Source organism: Homo sapiens, chromosome 2 (assembly GCF_000001405.40).
Source record: "Homo sapiens chromosome 2, GRCh38.p14 Primary Assembly".
NCBI classification, from domain to species: domain Eukaryota; kingdom Metazoa; phylum Chordata; class Mammalia; order Primates; family Hominidae; genus Homo; species Homo sapiens.
The window spans coordinates 112,274,336-112,296,182 of NC_000002.12; the positions used below are offsets into that span (position 1 = coordinate 112,274,336).

At 39.5% G+C, this 21,847-nt stretch overlaps 1 protein-coding gene and 1 pseudogene across 2 annotated transcripts in view, besides 4 other annotated features; one reads left to right on the plus strand and one right to left on the minus strand.

The window, feature by feature from the left end:
• Positions 964–1,536: an enhancer, noted in NCBI's record as "NANOG-H3K27ac-H3K4me1 hESC enhancer chr2:113032876-113033448 (GRCh37/hg19 assembly coordinates)". NCBI's record gives its function as "activates a minimal SCP1, AML or CMV promoter by ChIP-STARR-seq in naive H9 embryonic stem cells {active_cell/tissue: H9 hESC(naive)}" and the evidence as "EXISTENCE:reporter gene assay evidence [ECO:0000049][PMID:30033119]".
• Positions 1,152–1,361: an enhancer, noted in NCBI's record as "active region_16391". NCBI's record gives its function as "activates an Ori minimal core promoter by ATAC-STARR-seq in GM12878 lymphoblastoid cells {active_cell/tissue: GM12878}" and the evidence as "EXISTENCE:reporter gene assay evidence [ECO:0000049][PMID:35858748]".
• The window catches only part of ZC3H6 (zinc finger CCCH-type containing 6), a 64,463-nt gene continuing 43,877 nt past the window's right edge, over positions 1,262–21,847 (plus strand). For both annotated transcript variants that reach the window (NM_198581.3, XM_006712519.4), the window contains exon 1: positions 1,262–1,691. In NM_198581.3, the coding sequence (NP_940983.2) occupies positions 1,660–1,691 (32 nt within the window). In that variant the 5' untranslated portion in view covers positions 1,262–1,659. The remainder of the gene's footprint in view (positions 1,692–21,847) is intronic.
• Positions 1,552–2,031: a silencer, noted in NCBI's record as "silent region_11871". NCBI's record gives its function as "represses an Ori minimal core promoter by ATAC-STARR-seq in GM12878 lymphoblastoid cells {active_cell/tissue: GM12878}" and the evidence as "EXISTENCE:reporter gene assay evidence [ECO:0000049][PMID:35858748]".
• Positions 8,184–8,384: a silencer, noted in NCBI's record as "peak3818 fragment used in MPRA reporter construct". NCBI's record gives its function as "represses an SCP1 promoter by STARR-seq MPRAs in K562 erythroleukemia cells {active_cell/tissue: K562}" and the evidence as "EXISTENCE:reporter gene assay evidence [ECO:0000049][PMID:32103011]".
• On the minus strand, positions 11,666–12,107 carry NDUFB4P6 (NADH:ubiquinone oxidoreductase subunit B4 pseudogene 6; annotated as a pseudogene).

Consider the following 21,847-nt stretch of genomic DNA (forward strand, 5'->3'; position numbering starts at 1 on the left):
ATTTAATCCACTCATTGCAATTGTTTTTGAATGCATTCCATTTATGTATTAGTAAAATGTATTATTAAGGAAAGACAAATTAAGTCAGATATTTGGATTAATCATTGAGTCTATCATTTTAGTAAAAAGCAAGGAACTTTCCTTCAGGACTAATATATTAAATAGGCCAAAACACTGACTTGTCATTTAAAAATTTTTTAAGGTCACTTCATAAGTATAAAAAACTCATGCATGGTCGGGCGCGGTGGCTCACGGCTGTAACCCCAGCACTTTGGGAGACCCAGGAGGGCGGATCACCTGAAGTCAGGAGTTCGAGACCAGCCTGGCCAAAATGGGGAAACCCCATCTCTACTAAAAATACAAAAATTAGCCAGGCGTGGTGGCGCGTGCCTGCAGTCCCAGCTACTCGGGAGGCTGAGGCAGGAAAATTGCTTGAACCCAGGAGGCAGAGGTTGCAGTGAGCCGAGAGCGCGACACTGCACTCCAGCCTGGGCGACAGAGGAGACTCCATCTCAGAAAAAAAAAAAAAAAAAAAAAAAAAAAAAAAAAAAAAAGGCATGCCTAATAGTATTTATAAAATACTCGCATACATTTTACATGTTAATATTATTACGAAATAAAGTAACGTTTATATAATTATTTCAATAGCTATTCCTATTTAAGTAATAATTGGGTAAATTTAACAGCAAATACAAGAAAAAACTGCATGGCAAGCTATTTTCCTTAAAACATGATTCTGAACACTAAACGTTACAAAAACAGATACTTGCTACAACTGTGAAGGAGAAACTGCATTTCCCTATTATTACAAGAACAAAGGTTTTCACAAAAAAATTTAAGGACTCTACAGCCGCCTTGTTCTTTGTTATCCCACCCCTGCCCGCCTCGGCTAACGGTTTTGGGGCCCGTTTGCTTGGTGCGTCTGGAACTCCTCGGGCGGCGGGCGTCTCGCAGGAAAAACCGCGGCCCGTACTGCGCCGGGAGCAGAAGCGCTGGTGGCCCTCGTAGGTCCCGTGGGCTGCCTCCCCCTCCTGCAGACACTCGAGGAGCCATCCGGCCGCGTCTCTCGCCGCCCGGCCCCGCCACTAGGCTGCCGCCTCCGCCGCTGCACAGAGAAGGGCGAAGACCCGCCCCTGCAGGTGATTGACGGGCACTCTCCTCCAATGGTCAACGCGCTCGGCCCCGGCGGGCTGGGCAAGGGCCGCGGCTCGCGGAGGAATCTCTCTTGCCCTTTAGTCCCGGGCAAGGTGTTGCGGCCGGCGCCATTTTCTCGAGCCGCCTGTTTCGGGTGCCGCCATGTTGGTGAGGAGAAATCACCGTTACGGCCACTGTCCAAATCCCCGCGTCGCTGCACGCCGCCCGCCCGCTCCCACGCCACAGCCACCGGCGGCGAATAGAGACTAGAGCGGCAGCGCCGGCAGCGCGGGGCCGTTGCCCAGTGTTTGCAGTTAGAGCCCCATCTCTCTGGCGTGGTTGTTAATAGACTGGAAAGTCTGTGTCTGTGTCGCTCACTAGTAACCGTGAGTTTTTACCACTTCGTCACCTGTCGGCGGCGGCCGGGAGCAGGTTCCCGCAGGCGGCGCGGGGGGTCTTCCCCGCGCCCCGCCGCCGCCGGCCTCGCAGACCTGCCCTCCAGCCCCGCCCCGTTCTTGACCAAACATGACAGACTCTGAACATGCAGGGCACGACAGGTCGGGAACCCTTCTTGTCTGTCTTTCTGTCGGATGAGAGGAGGGGTCTGGGGCGGCGGGAGCGGGCCGGGGCCGGGCGCCTCCTGCATGACCTAGACGTCTCTGTGTGGCTCCGTCAGTTCCATGACGCGCACTCTTATGTAAACTGCTGGATCGCGGCCGCGGGGGAGGTCGGCCCGGCCGCGCCCGCCTCCCCGAGCCGGGGTCGCTGCTCGCCAGCGCCGGCCCCGCCCCCGGCCGGGCACGTGCGAGCCCCCCGCCCCCCGGGCGGGCTCCGTGTGCGCCGGGCGGCTCTCAGCGTCCCGGCTCGGTGCTGAGGTCCTGCTTCTGCCCGTCCAGGTGTCGGTGCTCCCGGCCAGATAGGACCAGCCAGGAATTTTCAGGAATGGGTGTTTTGATATTTGACTGCTTCCCGAGAACCGAGAACACCTCTAAAAAAATAAACATTTGGTTTTCAGGGAAGTTTTAAGCAGCACCAAAAGGCCATCTGTTGTATACAGTCTTATCCCTTGGAATTTGAGATGGCAAGTTTCAAGTTTAATATGTTAACACAAAATACTTAGGCTTTGCAGAAACTTAGTTTAGCACAGTTTTACCCTAACGTAAAAACTCCATGGATTATTCCGGCTAGCCCAATTTTCTAGATGGTGTGTATCACTTGAATATTGAGATTCTGATTTTTTATTTTTTGCTCTGTGCCTTAAGAGGCACATTCTTGTTTCCATTCGAGTTTGGGGACATTTACAAAGTATACTGTAGCATACTTAAATTTTGGTTATAATTCAAATTTTCATTCGTATATATCTTTAATAATGCGAAAGGGGGGCTTTCATTCATTAAACTTACTGAAACAAAATCCATTGCATCTGATTCTTACTTAGAATATTAATTTGAAAATCTAGAACCTCACAATTACTCCTTTGTGAATAGAAGTAAGAAAAAATATACGTTTTACTATAGACTATATACATTGCTGAAGTTTTATCTGTAGTAATGTGATCGGCTTGGTAAAGCATCCTAAACACGTTTTTTAAAACCCAGAAGCAAAAATCACAAACACTGCTGAAATTTGAAATATCTAAATACCTAGCAATCTTGAGAGGGATAAAAATGGTATTTCAACAACTTCAGTATTGTAATAATAAAAGTAGATTCCCAGAGGGCACGTCAATCAAAGTGTAAAAATTTTTGGAAAGTAAAATGCACTTTTAAAAATGATAAGCTTGCACTTGGCACATTTTTAATGATTTTTTTAACGTTATCTTTTGTATTAAAAAGGAAATTCTTAGAATGGGTTGACTAATACCTTGCTCTTGAGGTATGGACAAACCAATGATGGGGTTTTGCTAATGGAGCCTAAAATCCTTTTTTTTTTTAATATGGAAGAATATCTGTTCCCCTCTCTTAGTGCACAAAGTAACTTCTATATATGGAGTTATGTATTGTACATCATGAAAAAACAATGCCATCAAATTCAAGTATCAAAATAATTTTGCTGGTAAGGAACTGTGATGACAGACCTTTTAAAGAATTTGAAATTTTAAAATACTGGTTTAGAGGTTAGAAAACTTTAAAGAATTATTTGTAAGATATGTTAATAGGTTGGTAGTAGGAGCTAAAGATTAAGATTAGTCTATTTTATTTAAAATTCGGACTAAAAGTATTTTCTAGTGATTTCTGAAACAAAAAGGTTAGCTCCACTTTAACTTAGCCAATTGTTAAGTGGCATCATTGTGCTGAGATGAAGGAGATGGTTTTTTTTTTTCATGCTTTTTTTGTCAACCCACATGAAAAACAAAACAACTACATCAAAAACAAAGTGAACTAGAAGTCAGGAGAAATTCTACAAGATCAGATCAATGGTTCTAAACCTTCCCTGGGGAACTTTTTTTCTTTAAAGTATTGGCGCTATTTCTGTTGGTCTGGACCTCAGCCTGGGTTTTAAGAGTTCTAAAAGCTCCCCAGGAAATTCTAATATGTGCCAAATTGAGAACCGCTATACTCGATCAGTGTTTCCCAATGATAGTTAATCATCAGAATCACTTTGGGGAATAAATTTTTGTTCTGCCCAGAGCAACTGAATCAGAATCTCTAGGGTATTTTTCATAGGCTCCCTGGGAAATTCTTAAGAAATTTGGGGAAAAAATGGACTAATCTGCGGGCTTCCAAAATACTGTATCTTTCCATATAATAGCTATTTTATGCTGTTATAAAAGTTTCTGTGAATTAAGTGGAGAAAAATATATGAAACTTGGTATATGGAGCTAGGCTTTGTCTCAAGGATTTTATTTTATTTATTTTATTTTTTTGAGACGGAGTCTCGCTCTGTCGCCCAGGCTGGAGTGCAGTGGCACTGTCTCAGCTCACTGCAAGCTCCACTTCCCGCCTTCACACCATTCTCCTGCCTCAGCCTCCTGAGTAGCTGGGATTACAGGCACCCGCCACCACACCTGGCTAATTTTTTGTATTTTTAGTAGAGACCACGTTTCATCATGTTGGACAGGCTGGTCTTGAACTCCTGACCTCAAGTGATCCACCAGCCTTGGCCTCCCAAAGTTTTGGGATTACAGGGGTGAGCCACTGTGCCCAGCCAAGGATATTCTTTTTATAACATTTTCAAAAATTAAGGCATATTGTGTATGCAGGAAAAAAAATGAAGCCTATGATTTATATTTACAATTGCTTTGATTTTATACAAATTAAAATATTACTGTTTATGAGAATGAGATTCTAAATGTAAATGGAATTCACAGAATGCATAATTTTTTTCTCGTTTAAAGAAATAGAGTCTCGCTATATGCCTAGGCTGGTCTTGAACTCCTGGGCTCCAGCCATCCTCCCATTTCAGCCTCCCAGAGTGTTGGGATTACAGGCGTGAGCCACCACGCCTGGCCTTGTACATGTTATATAGTGAACATTTTGCACAAGATTGTTTGCCAAATGAATAATTTAAAAAAAATCCATTTAGTGTACTTTCCTTTAAATATTTTCACACCTGGAGTTAAAACATTGTATTTTATAAGATGTTATTAATATAAAAATACTTCTAATTCTACTTGTGGCTATGTAGAATGTAGTAGAGGACTTTTGCATAAGCCCAGAGCCTAGTTTCTAAAGGTCTTTAGGGATTTAGGGAAATCAGAGGGAGGTATAATTCTGGTCTCTCGTCGTTCAGTTCTTTTTCATTCAGTTCTCTCAGGCACGACTCCAGCCGCTCAGTTTTATATTTCAACTGGATGTTGACCCAATTAAAACAATTCACAACTCCTGAAGACGAAATACTATGAGTCCCTGCTTTGGACACATCTGTAGTAGAGTAGGAAAAGATAAATATAACCCAAGTAATTGTTACAGAATTTTCTGAAATATACTAATGGTAAAAGGTTTTGTAGGGCTTGTACTGGGGAAAAAGATAATTTTTTAGCATGAACCTTTTAAGAGCTTGTGAGTCTCAAAGAGTCTTTAACTGATAGGTGATATGGATAATACTCCCCTTTGGGAGGAGGTTTATAATACATAAACAACCTCCCCACCCTTCCCTCGCAGCTTTCTGTCCTGTACTACAAGAACAACAAAACTCCAACTAGTCAGAATTGCAAGTGGTTTATGGCCCCCCATATAGATTGAAAACTTGCTAAGAGACTGCACTGGAGAACCTGAAAGGATGAGGATGGAAAAGATGATTATACTTTTCATTTGCAACAGGGCTTTCATTTGATTCTCACATTAATCCCATGTGGTAGTTAATTAAGGTAGCATTACAAGGTTCAGTGAATTGTCTGAGATCTCATAAATACAACCTAGATAAGAACCCAGGTATTATTATTTTCAGTCTTGCAATATTATTTTCCTACTTGCAATATTATCTTCACTCTTCATTAAGTTTGCACAGCAAAGTAATGGAATAAGTTCTGGGCTTTAATCCTTGAGTAGTTTGGAATTGTAATGTGCTACATTTGAGAGAGAGCCCTTCATTTTGAATAAAACCTTGGTACTGATCCTGATCTTCTAACTTGGGTTAATGCTCTTCCCCTTTTCATTATTTTTTTCATTTGTGAAATGAAGTAGTTGCACTAGATCATTTTCAATTTTCCTTCCCACTTAAATCAATTTTAATTAAAAAAATTGCAGATGCCTTTTCTCAGATTAGAGTACACTTTTTGCTCCACACAATATCTGGTTTGTAAATTAGTATGTTCCGTGGAGTAAATAACTTTCCTGACTAGCCATTAACTTACTTCTGATTCCTGAATCCACTAATTTAACTATTGTTGAAATTACTAAAGGAAATTTTTCTTTAGCAAATGTAAAACCTCGTATCAGGTCTCAGGTTTGATGTTGTAAAGCACTCTGACTCTCAGGAAGACTCTTTTTTTCCCCCAACCTCTCATAAACAAATATTTCATTCATTATAAAATTTCATTCATTACATTTTCATTCCTCAGACTTAACAGTGTTTCGTCTCTGCTAAGTATAGTGTTAAGCACTGACAAAAGAACTCTGGACACAACATCATGAACTTGCTCTCTGGGATCTTATAATCTAGTTGCAGAAACAGATTGGTAAATACATAGTATAGCACAAGTACTATAATGGAGGCCTGAACTGAGTGCTGTGGGGGTACACAGATGAAGGCTTCTGGGAGACATCATGGCATAACTAGACCTGGAGGATGAATAAAACTTTGGCCAAGTAAATACAGAGATACACGAAAAGCATGGATAAATGGCACAAGTAGGTTCAGGGATGATAAAAGTGTTAGTATGTGGAGAGTGTACAACTATTTTGGGGAATGGGGAAACGGATTAAATTTGGGGCCAGACCCTGAAGGATGTGGGGATCCCATCAAAGTCTTTTAAGCAGGAGAATGATCAGATGCATTTTTTGGTATACTACCTGGGGGATAGGAGGAAATGGACTACAGAAGGGGAGATCAGTAGAAGGAAGACAAGTTAGGAAGCTTTTCAGTCATTTTCATTAAACATGAAGCTTAATATGTATTGTTCTAGGATCAGGAATACAGCAATAAAGAAAAAACTTGGTGTAATGAAACATATTTTCTTGGGAGAGACAGAAAATAAACATGAAAAACAGATGTGTTCAATGGTGATAAAGCAGAAAGGGAGATGGGGAGTCAAGTGGATGTGGGGAGGGTGTTTAGGGAAGCACTTATGAAAGAGTAACATTTGAGCAAAGAGCCCTGATACAAGACAACAATTCAGACCCAAGACATTTGAGGAAAGAGCATCCATATAAAGGGAGTGGGAGGTAGAGAAAGCCTGGACCAGGAATGAGCCTGGTATGATTGAGGAAAACACAAGGGATTTCACTCTTGAGTGACCTGGGAGCTAATGGGGGATTAAACAGAGGAGGGACAGGATCCTCTATGGTATATGGTAAGTGAGTAGTATGGTAAATGAGGTAAATGAATAGTAAAAGGAACTGCTGTGGTAATTTAGGTAACAGATGATGATGGTTTAGGTGAAAATGGTTGGATTGTGGATATGGTTTGATTGGTTTTAGAACCAATAGGATTTACTGGTGGCTGGATGTGGACAATGAGAGAATAGAATGAACCAAAGCTATTGTAAACGTCTAGAAATCAGATGAGGACTTGACCAAAGGCATTGGCAATGAGAAAGTAGGCACAATTCATGAGGTATTTCTTAGCATTGATAGAGTTGGATATAAATATCTGGAATTTTTAGCTGATTGAAATGTTAGTTGAAATGAATGATACCACTCAAGGTATGTGTGTCAAGAGGTATGGAGAAGAGCACAGAAGTTTTTGGAAACCAAGGGAGGAGAAAAGAAGGGATAGTCACAGAGCAGTAAAGAAAAATAAAGGTTAAAAATAGGTCACAGGATGTACATTATCCTAAGTTAAAATATTTTAAGGTTTGAATGAAAGGGTGCTGCAGGGTTTGCAAACTGGTGGGCTTCAGGCCTAAAATCTGCCTATACTGTTGTTTTTGCCTGACAGAATATCTTAAAATATCTGTATTTGAAAGCATTTAAGGCTTGACTTGTGCTCTACACTCCACAGTCTTATCATTCATAGTTTCTTGGCAAACTCACCACTCAAGGTGTGCCTCACTTATTTAGGAGATCTGCCTCACTAGGGTAGACATTTTAGGTTTATGACTCTTAAGTTTTCACCTGGACAGATTGGCTACCAAAAAGAACCTCACAGGTGGGTGACCTTGAATTCACCAGGTCATGCCATCAGTTCAGAGCGGCCGGAGAACTCTGTTCTCTTGTGCATTGATGCCCCCGGAGTTGTGAAACACAGTGGCCCTGCTTTAGTTTTTTTAGATTTAGAAACTGATCAGTGTCAGAGCGATCAGACACAGGAATGTTAATTCATGTTCAAAAATAATAACCAGGCTAGCATTTGTTTAGCACTTGCTATGTGACAGGTACTGTTTTAAGTGCTTTACATGAATTGTTTAATCCTCACAACAACCCTGGGAAATAGGTCCTATTATTAGGCACCCTTTCTACAGATGAGGAAACAGACAACAGATTGGTAAGTTTCCCAAGATCACAAAGTAAGTCAGTGGGAACTCAAAGTAACCTGACTCCAGAGCCCACTCTCTTATCTAAGCATATACATTCCCATCACAAGAGAACGCCAGTTTATTCAAGTAAAATAAGGACTAGAAATTTACATCAAGAAATATATTCTTTCAATGTAGAATGCTGAATGGAAAACCAAATTTCAATAGTTGCCTACTGAACAAGATCATGAGATAACAACAAGGGAGTTGATTATAAATGACTAGAAGTTTTAAATGGCATCGGCGCTGATAAAGTGATAATCTCAGCTCCATGATATACTTGTCAAGCAGTTACTTACATCAATCTGCCTTCTAGGATATCCTTTCTCCTGGTTGATGCTTATATGATAGTGTTTTGTACCTTTCCTTTTTCACTGCTTCCATTGCTGACCAAACTACTCACCTCCATATTTCTGGTAGATATATTTTTTCTCATTGCATGTTAGTATCTTAAATTTAGTCCTATCTTTTGCTTGATCCTCTGGGCTTGACTTCCTAATCTATGTTCTGGTTTATGTTTTAGTTTGACAGTTGAGCTTTCTGAGGACATTCTTATTCCCAGTATCTTTTTTTGGGTGGTTGGGTTCTGGGAGGTGGTATTTGACTGCTGCTGATGTGTACCAACCAAGACAGTAGTCATTAAGTGACTAACAATAATGATTTCAGCAGATTATTATTACTCTTGGCAAAAAGCAAGCTTTCTCTATTATAAATGATTTTATATTTGTTTTGTTTTTCTTTATTTGTAATTTGAGTTCTAGCTTAACATTAATACTTCAGATAACTGTTAATACACTTTCATAAATCATACCCACATTCTTGAATGGCAAATAAATAAATAATCAAGTTCCGAGTAGTTTCTAAAGAGAGTAAACATTAAAAGTAAACATAAAACTACATAAAAATCAATCACAGTCTATTTATAAAGTTGGTATGAAAACAAAGATCCTAGATTTGGAACACTCATGATACTCAATATTTTACATATATCAGAGTTTGTAATTTCCATAACTTCATTTGGTAGTTAGACATATAGACAGAGAAGATATTAATATATTCATTTTATAGTTTAGGAAACAGACTTGGAAGGGCAAATAACTTGTCTAAGATGACTAAGCAGCTGAGTGAGAACCACAGCCTATCTGTGGCATTCAGTCTCAGCCATCTTTCCCTTGCTTCATAAGGATCGTTACTCTGGTATCAGTTGCTGGACTGGGATTTTGGGCATTTATAAATGTTTTTATTTTGGATATCACTGAATCACAGACAATTTCATCTTAGTTAAAAATTCATCTGACGTGACACTTGTCTAAATCTTAAAATATTAAATTTTAATGTATAAGGATGTTAATAATCTTTATATTTTAAGAGACTATGAAGTCAAGTCTGGCTAACTTAGATCTGGAAGTTTTTAGCTGTGGAAAGCAATTCTATTGTGTACAGGTTTCAGCCTGTGAAGGGAATTCATTGAAAATGCATAGAGATCAGAAGAACTAACACCTTTCTTGCATGGATTTTTCTTGATTATTGGCAGTTAACAATAAAATGTTATTAGATCACTGGTGCTTCTGTGTGGGGTTGAGTTTTTTATGATATCTCCTGTTAGACCCATAAGGGAGGCTGTGAGTTGTTTTCTACATCCTTGGACTATATAAGATCCTCTTTTAAAATTATATTTTATATAAGCACATGAAAATGGAATGAAATAATGAGTTGACATAGGAATTACCTACATATTTTGGCTGTACATTTAGTGCACAAAATATCCCTTTTTTGAATGCCAAATGGCCAAGTGTGAAAACCAATATTTGTTAAAGCTGGAGCAGAAGTCGGTATCATCATCATAGAGTAAACTTCTGGCATATGTGAAGATATGAAATGTTATCCCTGAAGTTATTATAATTTATTCTCAGAAATATTAGTAATCTTATTTTAAGAGTAGGACATTATAGTGCAGTAATGATAATTTTCTCAGTGCTGCCTGTTGCTAGATTGTTCCTATGATTGCTGTCATGCACATACAGACACTAAATTGAGGGTCACTTTCCACTGAAGTTAGTGGAATACAAAATAGGTGGAGGAACTTTCTTCCTCTAACGTCTTTATATGTGTCTGTGTTTATATGTGTGTGTATACAAATATGTATACACATACATAATATCTGGAGCAAAAATGATTATGTTGTACAGAACTTTTGGAGGTTTTCCTCCTTATAAAATTCTGAAGTGGTAGAGTTAACATTCTGCTTTTAATTTATCTCCAAAAAAATGTGAAGAATTCCCAAATAAGATTTTCTCATAGAAGATTCATGGATTTTGAGTCTGAGAAAAAAAAGGAAGAAAAAAAATTCATGGTATAAAATAACTAAAAATTAAATATAGTCTTTAGAAATGATTTTGTTTAGTATAATTAATACTGGTATGACAACTGAATGCAATTGAAATTATGATATAAAATTTCTATTCTGCTTTGTATTTTTCGTTAAAGTTTTTATAATTGTCATCTGAAAAAGGATTTAATATTCTTCTTAAATTCATTAGCTAACTCTCTCAATATTATTACACTATTATTTGCCTATTTGAAAATTGTTACTTTCTTTCGTACATAAATAGCATTCATAATCATTGTGACATTTTCTTCTTGCATTAATGTACATTTATACTTCATCTAATTGAGAAAATTTTAACATACAAAGTGACACAAAAAGATTTTCATTCCAAGTTTTATGTAAAACACCTCAAATTGGAAAATGAATATTCAGATACTGAGTAAATTTTTTTTTTTTTTTGAGATGGCATCTAACTCTGTCACCCAGGCTGGAGTGCAGTGGTGGGATCTTGGCTCACTGTAACCTCTGCCTCCCGGGTTCAAATTATTCCCCTCCCTTAGCCTCCTGAGTAGCTGGGACTACAGGCCCACAACGCCACGCCCGGCTAATTTTTGTATTTTTTGGTAGAGACGGGGTTTCACCATGTTGGCCAGGCTGGTCTCCAACTCCCAACCTCAAGGGATCTGCTGGCCTCAGTCTTCCAAAGTGCTGGAATTACAGGTGTGAGCCACTGCACCTAAATGACATACTTGAAAAAATATTCTCGGGCCGTGTGTGGTGGCTCACGCCTGTAATCTCAGCACTGTGGAAGGTTGAGGGTGGATCACCTGAGGTCAGGAGTTCAAGACCAGCCTGGCTAACATGGTGAAACCCCATCTCTACTAAAAATACAAAAATTAGCTGGGTGTGGTGGCATGCGCCTGTAATCCCAGCTACTTGGGAGGCTGAGGCAGGAGAACTGCTTGAATCCAGGAGGCGGAGGCTGCAGTGAGCAGAGATTGCCCCACTGCACTCCAGCCTGGGCGACAGAGCGAGTCTCCGTCTCAAAAAAAAAAAAATTCTCACTTTCTGTTGTTGTTGTTTGTTTAATGATTAATAGATGATTTATTTAAGCAAGAATACATAGTCATCATTGCCAGACTTAATATGACAGGTTAAATGTTGGACCCAATTTTCCTTCCCAGATAAGTTTTTCTTTCCTATCCATGTCAGTTTTAAAAACATAATACCAGAAGAAGAGGGGCCCAATTCCACACAGAGCTCCCAAGAGTGAGTTTTTAGGAGTGGGTCTGAAATTAGGAAAGACACTTGCTGATCTTGCATAGGTCCAGGGAATCAAGGCAGGATTTTCGATGAGCCCTCGGCAGTTAGGGTAAGCAGGTTTCAGCCAGGCTCTTAATGGTCAACCACTTGGCTTGCGCCCGCTGGGTTTCCAAAAATATGTCCTGTTCGGCTGGGTTGAGGGCATAGTGGCCAGGGGCGAAGGAGTATACTTTGGGAACGACATCTTGGCGACCCAGCGCATAACTCACTTTTTTTTGGAAACAAGGTTGGCTCTGTCTTCCAGACTGGAGTGCAGTGGCGCAATCTCGGCGCACTGCAACCTCCGCCTCCCGAGTTCGGGCGATTGTCCTGCCTCAGCCTCCCAAGTAGCTGGGACTATGGGCGCACAACACCACGCCCAGCTAAATTTTGCATTTTTGGTAGAGACGGGGTTTTGCCATGTTGCCCAGGCTAGTCTTGAGCCTCCTGGGCTCAAGTGATCTGCCCGCTTTGGCCTTCCAAAGTGCTGGGCTCATAGGCATGACACTGTGCCTGGACAGATTTTTGTTATACTGTTTAGATATGATGGTAACTGAATGATCATGCAATCTCTGACCATGTGACATTCAGGGATACCAAAAATGACTTGAGATGGGCCAAGGGAGAATTGGAGAAGCATACTTTGGCTGAATACTTAGGCCAAAGTATAATTTGGAACATTTCTTTTAAAAAATCTACTCCCCTATGCCCCCCACTTGCAGTACCTTACAATTACAGTTAATCTAGTAGCAGATACTGGATTGGGATATTAGGTATTTACAGACCAAATGCCCATTGGGATATTACTAGGTAACAGGCAGTTTCACTCTGGTTCATTGTAGATTCATCCAGTAAGCATTTCTAGAGAACTGCTATATGAAAATATTGTGGAAAGTATCAACTTTTTAAACTTTTGATGTCATGGCACCTAGAAGATTATTTTCTGATACTCATATTCTAAGGGAATTTTGTTTTCTGAGATTTGTTTCTGTGGAATTTCTAGTTCCCCAGTCTGCACTGAAAGCCTAAATCAAGAGGATAATTTGAAAGGTAATGAAAGTAAATCAATTCTAGCTTAGATACCCAAGAGAGTAAATGAAATATAAAAATAATAACTTTTAAAATGTCTCAAAAAAAAGCTATGGCAAGCTAATTCAGTTTGACTTATTCATGCAATAGTCTGTCTCTGCTTATGACATAAAGTATAATATATTTTAGGAATAGTGTGGTTTTCTTCATGATGTCAAACATACAAGCTTATGGATATATTTAAAAATTCTTAATTTTCTAGATTAATGTTCAGCACTACTTCCATCTTGCATTGGATGGGGGCAGATAATTAATAATTATCAGATATTTTCTTATCAAAAACAAATTTGTTGGAAAAAAAATTTTTTTTTTGAGATGGAGTCTTGTTCTGTCGCCCAGGCTGGAGGTGCAGTGGCACGATCTCAGCTCACTGCAAGCTCCACCTCCCGGGTTCACGCTATTGTCCTGCCTCAGCCTCCCACATAGCTGGGACTACAGGCGCATGCCACCACGCCCGGCTAATTTTTTTGTATTTTTAGTAGAGACAGGGTTTCACTGTGTTAGCCAGGATGCTCTAGATCTCCTGACCTCGTGATCCGCCTGCCTTGGCCTCCCAAAGTACTGGGATTACAGGCGTGAGCCACCGCCCCCGGCCGTTGGAAACATTTTGAAGGAACTCTTTGTAAATAAAATACATGGCATGCCTTTCTGTTTTACTATACAGTTGCTGATTTATCCTTTAGTTGGTTACTTTGAATCATCATTAACATCTGTTGTCACCATAATCCCTGTGATCACTAGATGTCATACTCCATTTTATGTTTTATTGTTGCCTTGGGGAGACTTTGAGAGTATGAGAGGTGTTCATGCAGACTGCTGCTGAGTGTTGCATAGAGATGGAATAAAGTACAAATACCTTCAGGAACAGACTCCAAACTTGGTCTATTCCAGCTTCCTTTCATTTTTTTTTTTTAAACCTATTCCAGATAATTTTTCATTGGTATTCTCTGAAGGAAAATAAGAGAAATTTCCTCTTAGAATCCCTTCTCCTTGGATTTGTAACCTTTCCCAGTTCATTTCTGTGGAAGTACTTGTAGTCCAGCATAGTAATTCTATTCAGATATGTATAGTTCAGTTAAGTCACGAAGGGAAAGGAAGCTTTCGTTGAGGGCTATCTACTAGGTGGTACAGTGCTAGGTAATTAACTTTATCTCAATCCTTAAACAACTCTGCAGTGGTAAGGGTGATTAATTCATCCCATTTTGTAGACAAGGAAACTGAATGTTAGAGGGATGGCATAATTTGTTCATGTTCATATAGGTAGTACTTTGGGAAGCAGAATTTGAACACAGATCTTTCTGGTTCTAGAGCTTTGTGTTCTTCTACCTTGCTATGATGTTAAGTAATTAGTTTTAACATGCCACTTAAGTTTAAAGCCTTAAGTAGTCCTTTTAAGAAATCTTTTGTTGCTGGTTATTCTCATTTAACACTCCTATTTTAATTTCCAGGTTCAGGTGACCTCACTTTGCCAGAACCGTGGGTCTTCATGAAATAAGAGATTTCATTTGGTTTTTGTTTTGGTTTGCATCCTCTCTAACTTTAGGTAGAAATTGCTGTTAGGGCAATCACCTACCTCACTATATTCCACTCTCTCTTCTGGATATTGGTGCTCAGCCCTTTTTTGAACCGCAAACCTTATTAATAAAATAGTTTTCATTCTTTGAGCGTTCCTCTTCTCACTGCCCACCCCCCCGCCACCACCACCCTACTGACTTTGATGAGCTGAACTGAACCACTCTTTTTTTTCTTTTTTTTCTTTTTTTTTTTTGAGACAGAATCCCGCCCTGTTGCCCAGGCTGGAGTGCAGTGGCACAATATCGGCTCACTGCAACCTCTACCTCCCAGATTCAAGCGATTTCTGGCTAATTTTTGTAGTTTTAGTAGAGACGGGGTTTCACCATGTTGGCCAGGCTGGTCTCGAACTCAAGTGATCTGCCCACCTCAGCCTCCCAAAGTGCTAGGGTTACAGGCATGAGCCACCCGTGCCAGGCCCTGAACACTTTTTTTTTCTTTTTCTTTTTTTTTTTTTTTTTGAGATGGAGTCTCTTGTTCTTGTCGCCCAGGCTGGAGTGCAGTGGCGCGATCTTGGCTCACTACAAGCTCCGCCTCCTGGTTTCATGCCATTCTCCTGCCTCAGCTTCCCAAGTAGCTGGGATTACAGGCGCCCGCAACCACGCCCAGCTGATTTATTGTATTTTTTAGTAGAGACGGGGTTTCACCGTGTTAGCCAGGCTGGTCTCGATCTCCTGACCTTGTGATCCGCCTGCCTCGGCCTCCCAAAGTGCTGGGATTACAGGCGTGAGCCACCGCGCCGGCCCTGAACCACTCTTCATCAACTTATCTGGGACCCTGAAATGAAATAGGGTGACCCATTTTCTAGCTTTATATGATTTTCTGGCTTCATATGATTTAAATATTTTTACCGTTTTTTGTTTGTTTTGTTTTGTTTTGTTTTTGAGACAGGGTCTCTGTCACCCAGGCTGAAATACAATGGCCCAATGACAGCTTACTCTAGCCTCGACCTCCCAGGCTCAGGTGATTCTACCACCCCAGCCTCCAGAGTGGCTGGAGCCACAGCCACGCACCTAACACCTGGTTCATTTTTGTATTTTTTTATAGAGACGGGGTTTTACCGTGTTGCCCAGGCTGGTCTCACACTCCTGGGCTTGACCAGTTCACCCTCCTTGGCCTTCCAAAGTGCTGGGATTATAGGCATGAACCACCGTGCCCAGCTTTTGAAAAACCTGTACAATAAAAAGTTTGGACTAATGTTCTTTGAGCCCTTAAAAAAATGCTATTCAATTAAAAAAAAAACAAACCTATAGTGTCTTATAACTCCAAATCCCATACTGTCACCCAACTGGTCTGCCCTGGTGACCACCATTTCCTGACAAACATTCAAATCACTCCTGAGGAATTGAAGAAATTCACATTTATGACCCAGTGACACTGGCCTTGTCTCAGTTCCTATAGTGTGTCATACTCTGTTCTGCACAGAAGTTTTGCTCATCCTATTCCTTTGTTTGCAGAGGTCCCTTCCCCATCCCCTATCTCTCAGGCAGACTCCTCATCTCAGTTTATTTACGACTTCCTCAGGGAAAGCCTTCCACACTTCCCTGACGGATGACTTTCCCCTGTTGTGTGTGCTCATAGCACCATTTACCTACTTCGTATACTTGTGTGGTTATTTTATGTTTATTTGTGTGATTCTTTGATTGGTGTCTGTGCTGTCCCAAGATTAAAAACTTCATGAGAGAAGAAACCATGTCTTTTTCTTGTTTTTGTTTGCCATTGTATCCCCACTGAGAACATGGTGAATAAATACGTGTTAAATGAATGAATGGCCTTTTTTTTTTTTTTAGCTGGAAGGACATAAAATTCTTACATACATATAGTTTTTAAGAATTATGGCTGCAGATATTTTGGATTTCATCTCTGGATTAAGTCAGAATGTCAGACAATTGTGTACTTGCACAGTAGTACTTTGTTCCTTTACATAATTGTTTTTTCTTAATTGAACTTTGGTAGTGTGCCCTTGGCTCAAATTGGCATATGCTGTAAGCAATAAAATGTTGCATTGATTGTATGGACACTCTTGAGGACAGTGTCTGCCATATCAAGTACTATCCATTATATCAGGTAATATCATCAGGACCCAGAGGAGAAATTTCTCTCTGATCTTACTCCCAGAAAAAAAAGTGTGCTTTTCTTGAGCAACTGGTCTGTTTTTGTCTCGGAAGCACTGTTGTCTTAGGCCTAACTTTTGTTTCCTGAAGCTCAAAGTCAGATTTGTGACTGACATCTAAAAATTAGTTAGGGGTTTCTGGCATACCCTGTGTAAGCTAATCTCAGTTTTAGTTTCATCTTAATCTCTAGAATTTTAACTGTGATTATGTGATTATTTACATATTTTATAGTTTGTTCAATAAAATACTTTTTTTTTTTGGAACAGAGTCTCACTCTGTCGGCCAGGCTGGAGTGCAGTGGCACGATCTCAGTTCACTGCAATGTCTGTCTCCTGGGCTCAAGCAATTCTCCTGCCTCAGCCTCCTGAGTAGCTGGGATTATAGGCATGTCCCACTATTCCTGGCCAATTTTTGTAGTTTTAGTAGAGACGGGGTTTCGCCATGTTGGCCAGGCTGGTCTCGAACTCCTGACCTCAGGTAATCCGTCCGCCTCAGCCTCCCAAAGTGCTGTGATTACAGGCATGAGCCACCGCGCCAGGCCTCAATAAAATATTTTATAAATACCTTTAAGGAATAATACAAACACAACCAGAGCTTAAATAAATAAATGTAAATCAGTCTGCTTGCTGGTTAAGTAATGAGTTCAGTGTTTCTCTCCGCACAGAAAGTGGGAGAGATAGATGAAGAAGAAAATAAAGCTTATTACATGTTGGGAAGGATGCTAGGCACTAAGTTCCTTTTTTTGAGACAGAGTCTCATTCTGTCGCCCAGGCCAGACTGCAGTGGCTCGATCTTAGCTCACTGCAACCTCCGCCTCCCAGGTTCAAGAGATTCTCCTGCCTCACCTCCCAAGTAGTTGGGACTACAGGCACCTGCCACCACGCCTGGCTAATTTTTGTATTTTTAGTAGAGATAGGGGTTCACCATGTTGACCAGGCTGGTCTCGAACTCCTGACCTGAAGCGATCTGCCTGCCTTGGCCTCCGAAGTGCTGCGATTACAGGCGTGAGCCACTGTGTTTGGCCAGTTCTAGGCATTAAGTTCTAATTGGTTCATTTGGGGACTCGAAATTCTCCATTTTATTTTATTTTATTTTTTCTGCTTTTGTCACAAAAGCACAGACATTGCTTAACAAAGAGGTCTGAGATGGGATATGAATGTTAAGCTCAGGGACATAGGGTCAACACTTTTGAGTGCACAGACTGGGAACCTGGCACAGTTTTAACAATCCCCTCCCCTATTTTCACCATCCCTTATTCCTGTAGAAGTAGAGCAGATGATTACGTATTCACTGCTATATGGCTTATTACCTTTGTAGGAATTCTAACTGAAGGGCTTGGCATTTGGCCTGACTGAATATCAGAATCCCTTTATTTTTCGTTCCATTGCAAAATAATTTTTTGTGCCATCAGTGAAATAACAGCTATGCAGTGGCATATACAGCTCTGGAGACCAGGCATTAGAAGACTGTGAGACAAGAATAACTAGAACGATGATAAGGAGACACTGGAAGTCACTTTAGATTGATGACCAAAGATTTCCTTATTTTGACCAGGAGGTCAGATCTCAAGGGTCCTTCTGAGTCCACTTTTGATTAGCCAAATTGTCTTTTCTTTCAGTTTGACTATAGGTTAGTCAACCTTCCCTCCACATTCATCAGGGAATGTTAGCAATATGTCATATTTTTTTCTTGGTGTACCATTAAGCAATCTAAAGCTATGCTGTTACCTGTAACCACTTGGATTAATTATTTTAGATTAGTTGGTTATACTTCTAGGTTTTATGGCTTTATCTTTTCAGTCAGCATTATTAACCAAGTTTTGGTAGCTTTTTCAAGTTTTGTAACCCCCATCCAGGGAGATCAGTGTCCTCTCAGACACTCCCAGGTAAGCATGATCTCCTGGAAGACGTGAGAAGTCTCTTAAATCATCTAATTATTACATTGGAGCTATATAATAACTCCAGTATACCTGGAGTTATTATGCATATATGCAAGTTAGGTTCTAATGAGGCAAATGTAAGTAAATATGTTGTTGATTCAGGAGGTAAAAATTAGGAGAGCCATGTGTAGTTTTAAGAACAAAAGAGGAATTACTTGTAACAAAAGTAAGTAAGAAAGGAATTCTCAGTTATCTCTTGGGTAGAGATACCTTGCATAGAGTTCAGCAAAAATTCCAAAGGTTGTCATAGGACTATGGAGGCCATTAGGCTAATTAAAATTTATAATATTGCCCATATATTTGTACTAAGTCTCATTCCTGAAGGATTTTATATTTGGGTTGAGGCTTTGAGAAATTCTAAGACTGGCTTGAGCAGTAAAACAAACCAAGTAAAAATTGCCATGGCTGTAAATAGTCAAAAAGGGGTAAGCTAAGTTTCTGCAAACTAAACAATTTCAGAGGGTGTAAGAATGTATTGGATAAAGGATGAAGATAAAAAGCACTTTGAAGACTATTGATACTCATCAGATTTTACCACTGATAATTTTTCAAGAGGAACTGTTTATGAAACTGTAAAGAGAAAATGGAGATACAAAAAGCCATCCAAGATGTAAATGCCGAAGGCCAAGTTTTGAGATAAACAGAAAATCACGAAAACTCATGTCTGGTGGATCTTCCATGGCCCCAGTGTGAGCAGACAGTATTTTCCTTGAGGAGAAATACTAGTTTGGTGGGGGTAAGGTAGGGAGTTAGTTTAAGGATTAATCAAGAGAACTATACATGTGCTATTTAGGTTGAGGGAAAAGATCAGAATAGGCATGGGCAAAGCCTAGACTCAAATCAAGTTATCTATCAAGCAAGCTGACATATTCAGACAGTTTATTAATTACTTAGAGAAATGCATGATCAGCATAGTGTCAGCTCCTCATGTCCCTCATCCGCAGGGTAACACTGAAACTAAACGGGACCACATGATAGGTAACATGAGTGGTGGGCACTCTGGCTGAGGAACAGTTTCCATCCTGTAGCTAAGTAGTTTTTTAGCCTACAGCTACATCCTAAGGAGTGGGCAAGGTGGTGAATCTCAGACCTCATGGAACCAGGGAAGGTGGATGAGAAACTGCCTCCCAGCAGGCTCCCACAAAATATGGAGGTTGGTAAGAAATAGCCTTGTAGCAGCACCTCACAATACTGCCTATCTTTCCATATTCTGAAGGAACACAGAGCATTCTGCCAAAGCTTAGGTCAGCCTATCGTTGGGCTTACGTAAGTAGCCTATGTGGAGGCATGCGAGTTTTCCAGGGCACGAGTACAGAGCAGTTATCCTACCTTATCATCTATAGTAAGGAAGAAACGACCGTGTGAATTAGTACAAAAGCATGAAAAGAAAAATGTTATAAGTAATCATTTCAAACATCTAGGAAATTTTGTTCTGTTGGTCTTAGGATAAGCATTCTGCTTCTATTAAGTTGTTTGCTCCTGGACTGCAAAGAAATCCTAGAGATTCTGACACAGTCACTTGGCACATTCTGAAGATTGTCTTTTTTTGTGGTGATCATATTATCCCAAGAAGTTTGCATTCATGAGTAATGTCATTGTACTATCATCTATCAGGAGTACTTGTATAGTCTTTTATAGAGGCTTTTGTGTTTCTTCCAGAAGACTCAGTTTCTGATCTGTAGCTTGTAACAGGAGCCTTTAGGCAAGCATAAAAAAAAAGCAGAAACTACTGTGGAGGTAAGACTGAATAGTTGAGGTTAATTTATTTTAATAGCCATCAATATCAGAGTGGAAAAAAGTAGAATCCTCTATTAAGGCATATCAGTTTGTAAAGATTTAATGAATAATTACCTTAGAATAAGAACATCATGGGTGACGAGGGTACTGACCATTTTCAGAGTCTTGAATTTTTATACCATAGGGTATTATGATTTTCCCCAGTTGTCTCAATCTAGATACTTAGATCTAGAGAAAAAATATTTTTAACTATTTTTTAAAATAACAGCTTTATTGAGATACATTTCACTTTTAAAGTGTACAGATCACTGGTTTTTAGTATATTCAGAGTAGTACAGTCATTACCACTATTTAATTTTAGAACATTTTCACCACTCCACAAAGTAACCCTTTACCCACTAGCATTCACTCCCTATTTTTCCCTCTAATCTACCTGGCAACTCCTAATCTACTTTGTATCTGTATAGATTTGCCTAAGATATAAAATCTTTTAAAATTATTGTTTATTAACTGAACAGTTATTTACCAGTCATTGGTACAAGAACATGAATATGCTCCTTTTTTAAAAAGGACATAATCAGTCTATTGTGTTTATATTAATAAAACGTCACATATATAATTAATTGACTGAGGAACTTATCTATTTGATGTATTACATTTTTTAAAGTCTTGTGTTTAGTAAACAAAACAGCTCTTATATAATAGTATTAAGCTAGTTCAAAATCTAGAGAATGATAAGAACTCTTAATTATTTCTATTACCTCTTCTAGGTATTTCCCAAGATCACTAGGTTAGTATCTGATACATTACTAGGTGTTCAATTAAGAAAGCTTTATTTTATTTTGGTGATAGAGCTGGAATTAGAATCCAGCTTTCCTCCCATGGAGTCTCCTTCTCTTTCCATTATACCACACATGCTTTCCACATGCGTCCAAAGCTGACATTTCAAAGGGTTTGGAAGCAGTTCATAGTGTGAATTATTTTTCTCTATTTCCTCTTTCTCTCGCATTTTTTGTAGCCATACAAAAATATACAAGTTTAAATCTGCTATTATATGAATGCTGAAATGATAAGTAGGCTAAGGGAAACTAAAAAAAATTTTAAAAGCTTGCAGTGTTTTATATCTCGTAACAAATATAAATGACCCACATTTCACACTTAAATAATGTATGTAAAGTAGGACATGAGTTTATGGGCATTTTTAGCATGTTTACTTTGTTTTTAAATAGCTCTAGTTAAAATGCTAAATATGAAGCAGTGATTTCCAGATGTAATTTTTTTTATGCTTTAAGGAGCTCACGTTGAAGGAGAGGCGCAGTAAAAGAAAGGATAAACACTTATAGATTTTTTTTGTCATTTGTGTTTTAAATTTTATTGTGGTATAAATGTAGATAGCAAAGTACACAATACTTAAATGTATAACTTGATGGGTTTTTACAAATGTGTATAATGTATATATAGTAATCACACAGATTAATATACAGAATATTTCAGTACCTCAGAAGTTTCCTTAA